General features: G+C 41.7%; 1 protein-coding gene across 60 annotated transcripts in view, besides 1 other annotated feature; it reads right to left on the bottom strand.

Annotated features, from left to right (window-relative positions):
- The window catches only part of CELF2 (CUGBP Elav-like family member 2), an 874,126-nt gene that overhangs the window by 300,051 nt on the left and 560,841 nt on the right, over positions 1-13,234 (bottom strand). The gene's annotated exons all lie outside the window — the stretch shown is intronic.
- Positions 2,695-3,205: an enhancer, noted in NCBI's record as "H3K4me1 hESC enhancer chr10:11075383-11075893 (GRCh37/hg19 assembly coordinates)". NCBI's record gives its function as "activates a minimal SCP1, AML or CMV promoter by ChIP-STARR-seq in primed H9 embryonic stem cells {active_cell/tissue: H9 hESC(primed)}" and the evidence as "EXISTENCE:reporter gene assay evidence [ECO:0000049][PMID:30033119]".

Here is a 13,234-nt window from a genome sequence, read left to right as displayed (position 1 = left end):
GGCAACCCAGAGCCAAGTATGATTCCCATTTATTTATCTAGGATCTCTAACACTGGATCATAGGAATGTCCAATATGTCAATGAAATGTCTACTTTTATGTTTAGCAAAAGATAAGATTAGGGAAATAATCAGTCCCCACAGAAAGGTAAATATTGAGACTGAAGGAGCCTGTTGCCATTGTATAGAACATACCCTCAATTAGTAACTGTACCTTTACTGCGTAAATGGCTGAAGAAAGTAATTAACGATTAATAGAAGCTGCCCTCAATTTAAAGCCTGGAAGCAAAGTAATTAAATTCAGTAGAAGCTATAGCCTCTAAACAAAGTTACATCGTACAAATACAAAAGGAAACACAGATTTGAATAATAAATGCAAATTAGGAACAAGGTTTGTCTATAAGCTGAAGAGAAATGATCCTAAAATTATCCTTCCTAAGAAATTCTCTATTCAAGAGTCAGTTTATGGACCTGTTTTAATCTTGGCAAAGGTCTGACCTGAATCCTGGCTGATGCTTAAGTACAGCCTGGCTTTCAGAGTATTTACGCATGCAGATCAGACAGCTTCCTGCAGTTTGAATTAGCTGTACAACTACCTCTCACATCAGTGCAGATATACTTGATATATACAGTGTCAACATTACTACCAGGGATGGAGATCACAAACATTGCTTTGCTTGTTGGTCATGAAATAAAATTGCCAAGCAGAATTTGTGTAGCTCCAGCAGGTATATTAATGCAGGCAATACTGTTATCAGCAGTCTTTAGCCTGCCTCTCTAAGCTTCTAAAAGAAACATTTAGGGAGAGGAAGCATTATATCTGGCTACAGCTGCACATTACATGGTCCATTGAGACTCAGATGCTGATGGCTGAACGGAATAACAAACAGCTGGGTATAAATGTAAAAATCAGGAAACCAATTTCAAACACACATATTTCAAAAATCCTCTGAAATTCCAGCACGGTAGGAGAAAGAGCAATTAGCCTTACAGAGTGAAAAAGTATCTCAGATTAAAATTCAAAAATATACCTAGGCACCCCAGGGCCATTAAATCTGGCTGAGCTCTCCTGTGACTCTTTCACAAAGGGCAGTGTTAGAACAAAGGCAGTATCATCAGATCATTTCCTGGCTGTGGTCACGCTTTGGCTGAGTCATCTGAAGCATCTGAGCTGCCTATCCCAGCTTTCCAGAACGGGGAAAAGTTATTAACAGCACTGAATGGGAAGGTTTCCCCAAAAGCCTCATCTCAGGGTCCTCCACATTAAATCCAGGCACCAGGGAAGGGTGTAGAGAGACATCTCCCAGCAGGCTGCTACCATATTAGAAACAACAAATAAACTTGTATTAAATTTTAAATAGCTTTTCTATGTATAAGGATTTAGGTAAGAAGACGGCTTGGAGAAAGGTTAGAATTTTTTTTTTTCCTTAAGGTTTGAAAGTCTTAACCATTTTGGTGGAAAAGTTTGGGTTAATCCCACGCAGAGACTTTTAAACATGGTCACACATTCGTATTTAAGAAAGGCGGTGATAAGGATCAGACAAGAGAAAGGGGACTGTATAATTTATTATCCAAACTTGGACACTTTTAATTCAAAGGAGGATACTATTAATGACGATGCTAGGACAATAGATGGAAGCTGGGAGTATCCCAGCAAACCAGGTCAGCACCCACTTGAGTACCAAGGGCACAAAACAGAGCCTCAGGTTGGATCTCGAATGTCAATCAAGTGGCTGCAATTCCATCCTCTTAATTTCACTGATCCTCATCTACTTGTTCTCAAGATTCCCAATCCCGGGTAAATTACAGAGCTCTGCTACAGAAGTTTAGGGAGCAAAAGGACAGGCTCGATAAAAATCCAGATGCCACTGCTTACACAATTAATTCCATGGATCATACCAGATTCAACCTGACCTAATGGAGCAGTGCACCACCACCACTGCAGCTCTTTTGAATGGGAAAGAACTGCCACATCGCCAGTTTTGATGAATGCTGATTTTCCCCCATCACAAGCTAACTGGATGCTACAGTCCAAATGGCCAAGATCACAGAAGAGGGGCTTCTGTGCACATTTCCACCAATCAACAGTTTCTTCCAGTGTTCTTAGTAATAAGGAACACATGAAATATTTTTAACACATCTAGGAGGGATCTAGACACAGCAAAAAAAATAAAAATTAACAGTTTCTTCCAGTGTTCTTAGTAATAAGGAACACATGAAATATTTTTAACACATCTAGGAGGGATCTAGACGCAGCAAAAAAAAATAAAAATTAAAGATGAGGCCCCATTATAATATTTACCTCACCTGATCTACAGAATAAGGAATGAAGGTCTTAAAAGTTACATCGGTTAATTTCTTGTATCTCAACAAGAAATTCCTTATTAATCCAACATAGCCCCAAAACAACACAGAAGTACAGCTCTTTCTTCATTTTAAACTTGTGTTTCCTTCAAGAAAATACAGGCAAAGTCAACAGGACAAAAGCCCAGAGTCATCAAATATTTAAGCTTGTAATCTAACAACTATTGTTATACTTCATACAATTTTTGTAACACCTAGAACAGCCGGCAGCCACCTAGCACATTATATGAGACTTAGAGACTAAATATTTGTGTTAACAATGCTAAACTGCAACTCTTATTCACTGGCAGACATTTCAGACTTAAAAAAGGGAACAGGTAGTACAGAAATGTTTAGGTTGTTTCCAAGTGACAACAAAACAACTAATCAGTTCAGTCCAACAATAATGGGTCGCTTGTAACTCGTAAGTCCTAAACTCCTCAGTTGTCCAACTTAACTATTCGATCTGCTGTACAGACTGTACAACTGTAATGTATTTTCTGACTCACACTGTATTTACAACACTACAGGGGAATCAATTTGCCACTGTAGGGGCTCACAAGAAACCCTGAGAATTAGATAACTTTAAAAGCTAAATTTACTTTGGTTCTAGTCTAATTACCTTTCTTAAAATAAATTTTGCTGATTGGCTAAGAATCCATGCTATCAAAAGCCCAGGCAGTTAGTCAGATGCCTCAACAAATAACCTGTCAAAAATGTGCCCTGAGGCCAGGCATGGTGGCTTACGCCTGTAATCCCAGCACTTTGGAAGGCTGAGGTGGGCGGATCACCTGAGGTCGGGAGGCTGAGACCAGCCTGACCAACATAGAGAAACCCTGACTCTACTAAAAATACAAAATTAGCCGGGTGTGGTGGCGCATGCCTGTAATCCCAGGTACTCGGGAAGCTGAGGCACGAGAATCGCTTGAACCTGGGGGGTGGAAGTTGCGGTGCGCCGAGATGGTGCCATTGCACTCCAGCCTGGGCAACAAGAGCAAAACTGTCTAAAAAAAAAAAAAAAAAAAATGCCCTGAACATTGAGACAGTATTTGTGATTCACAGAAAGAATTCATGAGATGTACAAATTGAGTTGCCCTCACACCTCACCACTGGACAGTGATATTTGATGAGGAATGTCTATGCCTCAGAATTTTCACTGTAGAGGCTTTGCTTCAAAAGCTGTAACAATCATTTACACAAACAATGAAAACACCCTTGTCGATGCACTGTATTACTCAGAAAGCTTTTCACCTGGACCCCAAAGTTATTTTAACTCCATGAATGTTAATACCTAATTGGTAATCTTTGTATTACAGTACAAAATAGTCTGTCCAAAACCCAACATACATTTGAGTTTATCATTTATGTTAGAAAAGGTAACACAACATACATATTGGGGAACATCTAATTCACTATATATACATTAACTGTTCACAATTTAATTATGACCCAATAAACATTTATTTGGTGACATATCATCCTGTCAGACACAGACACCAGAGAATCAGGAATGGTCTATAGGTTTCCTGAGCAACCTTCGTCAATTATTTATTCTGCTTCTATTTTGGATAAAGCCATCACAATAATTTTTCTTTAAATTTTCCAAGAGTTTGGACTCTACTGGGGCCTGGAAAGTGAGTTACAACATCGTGAGATACCACGTAGATTGTAAATTTCATGCCTTAAAAACAAAACAACGATGCCATCATAAATTCTTCCTCTCATTAGTTTTCCATCCAAAACCAAGGAACATCTATTTCATTAAACAGTTCCTTAGATTTTAAAATGCTACTCAACAATGAACAAAATACTAAGATATAACATGTCAGATTCTCTTATTTTTATTTTTTTAGGGACAGGCTGGCCTCAAACTCCTGGCCTCAAGCGATTCCCCCACCTCAGCTTCCTGAGTAGCTAGGATGAAAGGCACTGAGTCACCCCATCCAGCTAGATTCTCTTTAACAATTTCAAGGGGTTTAAGCTGAAATTAGAAACTGGGTCTCATCTTGTGTCTACAAGAGTAAAATTGACCAGGATGGTTTTCTGGTACCAAAGCCAGGTTCTAAGGACAAAGAAAGAGCCCATGATGTAGTGGGTGGCCCCTGGAAGCAATTTTTTTTTTTTTTTTTTTTTTTTTGGCTAAGCCCTATGTGGAGCTGGGAGATGTAAAGACATATAATGTCCCAGGGATGCAATCGCACCTGCCCCAAGAAGGCATGCACCTCAACCAACTTTCTCAACTTTGCCTATCATGCTTCGATCTAAATCAAATTGTGTTTGTTTCACAGGGTGGAAATAGAGGACTTGTGTGAGGAGGTGCCACTGTGATTGAGTCAACAATGGAGCAAATGAAGCGCTAAAAGGGTAATAGCATTTTCCTCAAATTATACGATCATCATTGGAAACCCAGCATTTTGACAAAGTGTTCAAACATCAGAGAATGGAGTTAGTATCACGTAGTTGAGAGCCATGGTATTGGGCCTTACAGTCTGATTTCTGAAAGCCTTATAATGAGGGTGGAGTGAATATACATTCCATTCTTTGGCTGTATTTTTGTTCCACAAAGCCTGCAATTTTCAGTCACTTGAAAATGTAATTATAGATAATGTTTGCATCAGTAGCAAGAATACAATAAGCACACAGGGCATGAAAACTCCACTCAAATCACATCCTCTTAGGTTATGGCGCTTGTGTCCTGCCAAGAGTAAAGGCATTTCGACAAGCTAATGTTCAGTATGAAATGGTTTGTGGGTTAGGCCAACCCATGCATGAATTCTACTCTAACTTTTCTATTATCCCTTCCTTTACATTGGGTATCTAGAAGTAGACAGAAATTTATGATTTGCTGAAAACACAGAATCCCATCAAATGTTTATGCACTTGAGCACAAAGCTGTGGAGTGGCTGAAAGTGTAATGATCCTTGAAATGGACCAGGTACCACATGTCAGCTGGCCACAGCTGTCCATCATTGAAACTCCACTGATATCCTGCATAGAGGCTCATTTATTCTATTGCCTACTTACGAGGCCTACTTAAGGAGGAGGGAGTAAAAACGGATGTTACTGTAGAAAGGATACTGCATAAGGTCATCAACTGAGGTGGGCTGTGGGGACAAAATGCCACCTGAGAACCATTTTCTAATTCACAAGAAGGCGTAGCGCCACCTGAGAAGGCCAAGCATTCGTCTAAGTCATATGCAAAAATTTTTAAGTTGGAAGTTAATGGGGGAAAATGCCAGGTGTCTAATGAAATCCTCCAAAGAAACCTCTTCATAAAATATACCGTTATCATAAATGAAGAATAAGTGTCCACCTTAGCAGTCAATGTTAATTGCTTCTTTATCTTGGCAGTAAGTGAGAATCTGCCTCAGGCATTAAGAGATCTTGACACTGCTTGGGTGTCCCCATCCACTGACATGTCTCTTACAATGCTCCTGCCTTCCAGCCTCAGAAATTGCTCTATGAAATACAATCAAGAAAAAGCAATTTATGTGGAAGAGCACAGAACAAGTAGAAGATTGCTGGGTCATAGCTAAGAACCTGTATTTCACACTCAAAACCCACATATTCAGCTGCCAATATGCCCACCTATCCAGAAACTCAACCTGTTTACACCAAAAAATCCTCAAGAGACTTGCAGGCAACCTCAGGCTTTGGAAACGAGGAACAGAGGTGCAACCTCAGGCTTTGGAGGTGAGAAACAGAGCTGCAACCTCGGGCTTTGGAGACAAGAAACAGAAGTGCGACCTCGGGCTTTGGAGACGAGAAACAGAGGTGCAACCTCAGGCTTTGGAGATGAGGAACAGAAGTGGGACCTCGGGCTTTGGAGACGAGGAACAGAGGTGCATCCTCAGGCTTTGGAAATGAGAAACACAGGTGCAACCTCAGATTTTGGAAATGAGAAACAGAGGTACATTTTCGAGTTTTCAGTACCACCACCTTTTAGAACCTCAATATCCTCATTTGTGAGATGGAAATGACACAAATTATTGAGGAAATTTTTTCTGAGAATTATTGATAAAATATAAACTCCTTAGCCTGATGGCTGGCCCATGGTATATCCTAAATCAAGAATAACTAATCTCATAAAATAGTTCAGAAAATGTAACCACAGGAAGGCAGCATCCCTTAAAGTGTTAGTAATCAGAATTAAAAGAAACACACACCAAAAAGCAGCGTATGATTGGCAAGGAATTAGTTTGGTTGACACTGGAAAATGTTTTCTGGCTTCTGGGGTCTGCACGATTATTACTTGAGCAGGCATCTGGAAACAAATCTGGAACAAAAGTAGCACATCCTTAGGAGACCTGAAAAACGAGACTGAGAGAGAGGCAAGATAAAAGTGTGGCCAATCACGTGGCTTCTGAGGTGACAAAAGTCCAATTTTGGTCACTTTTTACAACAGGCAGATTTAAAACTGTTGGCCCAACTGAAAGTCTGCCTATAAAGTTAATCAGACTTCTTGGACATTGATAAGAGAAAAAGTGCTAATTACAAAGTACCAATTAATTTGTACAGAAACATTTGTAGTATCTGTGTGGCTGGCCCTCTTCTCCAAAGATTTTGCCAGCTTTCAGCCACAGACCTAGTTTTCCCTTCCCAAGAATCTCAGCAACAACAGTCATCTTTGATATTGCCAAAGGCCCCCCTGCCTCCAGCAAAGTTCCCTGGTTCACCCTAATGCAAAGTGCTGTGTGATGAGAGGCAAGAGTCTGCATTTTGGAGGTCACATTCACAGCCCAGAGAGCTTCTCCACAGTCAATATCACACTCTCAGCTACAGTAGGTGCCAAATATTCCCCTGGCCCGTCGTGGAGGATATTCCTCAACAATGGATTCACACACCGAGGCTTTAGGCTTCCAAACAGAATCTGTGCTGTCTGATCTAGGGCATCAAGTCACTTGCAGCACTGGGAGCAAACTGTCACATTCTGTGGAGACTCTGATCTCTTAGCACTCCAAAGACCCTATCAGCTACATCAGAATAAAGAAGTGCCTTTTTTATTAACCACCAAAATAACCAGGACACACCCTGCAGCTGGACACCACATAGATGCTACAGATAACCCATACCCCAAACCCCTTGTCTTAACCCTACACCACCACATAAGGCAAAAATCACCAATTCCTTGTCTAGGTCATTTCCCCAAGGACTCTCTCCATCTACATCCTCCAGGCATTCTGCGGCCTGAGCACCTTATGAGGCCACCCAAGGCTGCCAGGTCTACAGACCTCTCTGCTCCATATTCATACCATCAAAATCGTGTCCTTGGCCAGGTGCAGTGACTCACGCCTGTAATCCCAGAACTTTGGAAGGCCAAGGTGGACTCACCACTTGAGGTCAGGAGTTCGAGACTAGCCTGGCCAATATGGTGAAACCCCATCTCTATTAAAAGTTCAAAACAATTAGCCAGGTGGGGGCCTGTAATCTCAGCTACTCAGAAGACTGAGGCAGGAGAATCACTTGAACCCAGGAGGTGGAGGTTGCAGTGAGCCAAGATCGCACCACTGCACTCTAGCCTGGGCAACAGAGCAAGATTCCATCTCCCAAAAAAAAAAAAAAAAAGGCTGGGTGCGGTGGCTCACACCTGTAATCCTAGCACTTTGGGAAGCCAAGGCAGGTGGATCATGAGGTCAGGAGTTTGAGACCAGCCTGGCCAACATGGTGAAACCCCATCTTTACTAAAAATACAAAAAATTAGCAGGGCATGGTGGCGGGCGCCTGTAATCCCAGCTACTCGGGAGGCTGAGGCAAGAGAATCACTTGAACCCAGGAGGCAGAGGTTGCAGTGAGCCGGGATCGCGCCACTGCACTTCAGCCTGGGTGACAGTGTGAGACTCCATCTCAAAAAAAAAAAAAAAGAAAAAGAAAAGAAAAGAAAAAATCGTTTCCTTAACGGCTGGGTTTCTGCAAGGGTTGTGATTCCCATTATGTCAGAACCAGCCTTCATATCGTGTGGCTGATTCTCTTCCCATAAGAAAATCAAAATCTGGTGTAGAGAAGGGCTTTTCAGAAGGACCACGTGGAGATACTGCCTTTGCTTCCCCCCCATCCCAGAATGGAAAGGTCTGACCACTAGTTCACAGAAGGAACATGAACTTCATTGAACTTCTCAATCATCATGCAGAAAGGTGAGGGGAAGAAAAAAGAATCAGTCTTCATGATGTTGTCCTAGGGACTGCGCGTTTTCTGAAAGTTCACTTGGGAGCAACAATGCTTTATGGGTCTTTGCCTGAGACTTAAAAGCATGAAAGTTCCGAAGAAGAAAACATTCACTCTTCAGCTGCAATGAAGTTCCATTAAATTTGATTCTCCCGGGAAATGCGGGGGAACTTGCGGCCAGTTTTAAGTGCCAGGAAGCTATAAAATATTTAGGTTGTCATTTCTTTCCCAACATTAGTCTGACGGTAATACTGTGGGACAGGTAAGCAGCGTATTTTATTGTCCTTATTTTCTAGACGAGGAATCTTGACAAGTCAACTGAGACTTGAAGTAGGCATGGAACAGATTAGAAGGCAGGCCAGGCATTCTCATAAGACAGTGGCAAAGGACGCCTAGCCTTGAAGGATGCCCTTCCACTCTGGTGCTGGGAGAGGCCCTGAAGCCATGTCCCTAGTGGTTCCATTCTACGACATACAGGGCAAGTCGAACAATCCAAGAGGAAGTTACTTCCATGAAAAATTAAAAACCACGCATAGCCAATGGAATGAAAATGGTCTTTGTAGTAAGAAAAAGTATTTCCTCAATTCCTCCCGAAAGAAAGGTAAATTCTGTAGCAAGTACTCAACCGAGGTGAAGATAAAAAAAACGACTTGCCTCTCAGTCTCCTCTCCAACACAGGAAAGGGGCCCTTATGTAAGGGGACTCTAAGACACCAGAAGTAAAAATGCATTCCCAAGCGCTCTAGGTACCCAGAAGAGGAAGAAACACCGTCCATTTGATGCTGGCGGCAACTTTCGGACATCAGAGCGTAAAAGAAAAGGGGGAACGAGCAGACAGGAAAACATGAGCTTGTGGTGAAAAGAAAGAAGAATCCCAAATGCACGAGGAGGCAATGTAAGGATGGCTTAATATTAAGAAACTGCTTTGAGACAGAGCTGCCAGCAGCATTCAGGCTTCTCAAAGGATTCCTGTGTTATCTCTCAGTCCTGACACCAAGAAAAGATGGCTGGCTGGACAATGGGAGTCACGAGCAAAGATGTTACCAGCGTGGACTGAAGTGACTAATTGCAGTTGGAGGCCTCCTGGTGACAATTTTGAGAAGGCAAACACAGCTGCAGCATAGCCAAATATAGCTGGCCCAGACAAAGACATCCATAAAGTTAATCATTCCGAAACACGCCACCCTTATGCTCAACTCGAAAACTCAACACTCCTCCTATAATGTAGGAAGTCAAAATACAGTTCAATGCGCAGAAACAAGCAGCTGCTCCAGTGGAATTTACAAGTGATGAGCTAGGTATTTGGATACTGCTCTCCTCCCGAGGCTCCAACCCTGAGAACTAAGTCCCAGACGGCTGTGGCCCCTTCTGTTGAAACTTAGGAAGCCGCTCAGGAAAAGGATAAAACGGGCATTAAAGGAGATTTTTTAAAACATATATATAAATCAGGAAAACATAAGAAGGGCAACAAGACAACTTCAGAGAAAGCTGTACTCTGTACTGGTTATGACCACACTGAATCTAGGCCAGGGTACAGAGATTCAGGAGTGAAGAGCAAAACAACGAAGTAAATCCACATTAGTCCTCTAACAAATGCTTTCTGTCTTCACACTTTTGGGTATCATCTTTCTATTATTCCCCTAAGAGTTTTCAAGGACCAAATGATTTCAACCCTGTTTTACTTGATACCCAATGTCTTCCCCCCGAGTTCCAAAGAGAAAACACCTGGGTGTGTGTGGCGGGGGAGGCGGGTAGGTATTTAAGTTGGTTTAAACCAATTTACCCACTTCCGGGCTTGTGAATCTGCTGTAACGTTCACCTTTTTTAAGTGTTCAGTTTATATGCTGGACTCCCATTAGACAATAAAAATTTCAAGGACCCCTTTCAACAGCAACAGGTGGCAGTGGGATCATGACATGGATCATATAAAATGGAAGCAGCAGCCAAGAGGCACAAGGTAGGGGGTGTGGTCCGCGGAGGACCGTATGTGTCTGCATAACAAGAAAACATCCGTGGAGGCCCAACTGTCCAGATTTCTCTGTGAAGTCTGTTTTTCTTCCTACTCTAACTCTGAAAAGACCTCAGGAGTAGCAACATCTTAATTGCCACTGAGAAACAGAAGAAGCCCCCAGATCCAAGGACTCAGCAGTGAGGAGAAAAGAGGCCCTCAAAAGGGAAAGAGTCTGAGCTTTTCACCCAGTAACATGGCAGAACTGCCAGAGTGAGGTTGTCTTCACCCTTCATCAGAGTTAATCCAAAGTTCTGGGCAGAAGAGTTGAAATACAGTCCTGAGACTTTTTTCTAGCAGTATCACTAATTTGCAGTACATCTTTGGTCACAATGTGAAACTTTTCTGAACATAAAGTCTTTCAGTTACAATGGTAATAATCCAAAAACACAAGTATGATCACTTTTGTAACCAAAGACCATTTCGTGGTAAATATTTTAAGAAAGCGAAGACCTATGCTGTATTAGTCCATTTTCAAACTGCTATAAAGAACTGCCTGAGACTGGGTAATTTATAAAGAAGAGAGTTTTACTCAACTCACAGTTAAGCATGACTGGGGAGACCTCAGGAAACTTACAATCACGGCAGAAAGGGAAGGGGAAGCCAGGCACCTCCCTCACAAGGTGGCAAGAAGGGAAAGCGTTGAACGAAGGGGGAAGGGCCCCTTATAAAACCATCGGATCTCGTGAGAACTCGCTACCACGAGGACAGCACACGAGAAACTGTCCCTATAATTCAATTACCTCCACCTGCTCTCTCCCTTGACACGTGGGGACTATGGTGACTACAATTCAAGATGAGATCTGGGTGGGGACACAAAGCCTAACCATATGTCCAATAAGATGACTTTCCAGATATACAGTCACATACATATACACACACACACACACACACACACACACACACATATATGTATATACCCCCACACATATTTCAGGCCTACTGACCACATTCAAGTAAATGACAAAATACTTTACTCTTTTAGCCTAAAAGACCAACTGATTGTCTTTGTGTCAAATAAATGAGGGTCAACTTTCCTGCTACTAGGAGAAAGGAAGACATAATTTGGGAGAAAGGATATAAAATACCACCTTAAAATTTAATGAGTTTTACTCAAGCTGTGAACTTTCTTTAGAAAAAGCATAAAATCAAGACTTTCAGCATAAAAGCACAGAATTTTAGACTTAGTATGTAAATCAAAGTACTTGGGAGTACACTGTTATGGTACCAGAAACAATTTAAGCTGTCCAAAAGCTATGTCAAGATGTGAAATAAATCAGCTGACCTTAATTTCATTGTCCCTGAGTAGTGAGTCACCACCTTCATCTGTGAAAGTAGGAAATCTTCAGTCCTATTGGAGCTTGTAAATGTCAGACAAATCAGCTGTGGCACTGGGGAGACTGGATTTCCATGGTTATGACAGAGAGCACTGCATACAGTCTCACTGAGGAGACAAACTTCCGGGACTTCTTCATTATTATTATTATTATTACTATTATTATTCTTAGAAGAAGAAGACGGAGTCTTGCTCTGTCGCCCAGGCTGGAGTGTAATGCTGCCATCTCAGCTCACTGCAACCTCCACCTCCCAGGTTCAGGCGATCCTCCCCCCTCAGCCTCCCAAGTAAGTGGGACTAGAGGCATGCGAAACCACGGCGAACTAATTTTTGTATTTTTAGTAGACACAGGGTTTTGCCATGTTGGCCAGGCTGGTCTCCAACTCCTGAAGGTGATTCGCCTGCCTCGGCCTCCCAAAGTGCTGGGATTACAGGCGTGAGCAACCGTACCCGACTGACTTCTTTAATTACTGAGATTTAAAATCAAAATATTGTATCTAACTCCTACCTTTAAAGCACTAGAGGAATCCTGGCAAACTGGTCAACTACCTAGGTGACTCCTGGGCTGCTGATCTGGAGGACGCACAGATTGTTTAAATGAAGATCTCTTCAGAATAGATTTCTTCATTTAAAACCCAACCTTAAGTAAAAGGCCACATAACCTGATAGAAAAACACAGACTAATAAAGCCGACCTGATAGTTTAAATACAGCCTAAACTTAATTTACATAAATCTTTAGGAGGAAAAAAAATGGGTCTAATAATTTGCTGGTTATGTTGGCTCTGAGGCATTCACTCAAATGGAGTAAATAAAATTTAACCAAAACCTGAATTTGTACTCATACGTCATTTTGAAAACCACAGGACTACACACTTATTAGCATTACATTTTAAATTATCAGCTGATTTTAAAACATCACTTTTAGTATCTAAACAGAACATACAATCTGCAGTTCATAAAAGAGACTGTTCATAAAACTCCAGGTTGGCACGGCCAATGCGTAAATCTCAAATACGCTCACAAGGCATTTCAGCCACATAACTGGAATTGTATTTCTATAAAAACAGTTGGAGTAATCACTTTCTGTCATGATTTAGAACAAATGGGGAGAGTGAAGCTGTTCAAAATCTCCCTCAATGTCTTCCCCTTTCTTTTAAAAGTCCTTTAGGAGGAGTCTAAAGCTCTCACTAAATGAAAAATACATTCCCAGGAGGAGGAGATGGTTTCCATCCCTTCACATCTGGATTCAGAGCATGAGGATATTGGATGGAACAATTACACGGTGATGATACTAAAGGGGAATAATTATTTTACAATTACCTGAAAGCATCACATTTGCTGCTCTAATTAGTTTTTGTTTCCCACATAGGTTTTTCCCAGGAATGTG

This window comes from Homo sapiens, chromosome 10 (assembly GCF_000001405.40).
Source record: "Homo sapiens chromosome 10, GRCh38.p14 Primary Assembly".
Classification (NCBI taxonomy): Eukaryota; Metazoa; Chordata; class Mammalia; order Primates; family Hominidae; genus Homo; species Homo sapiens.
This window is presented reverse-complemented; position numbering and strand designations above follow the sequence as displayed.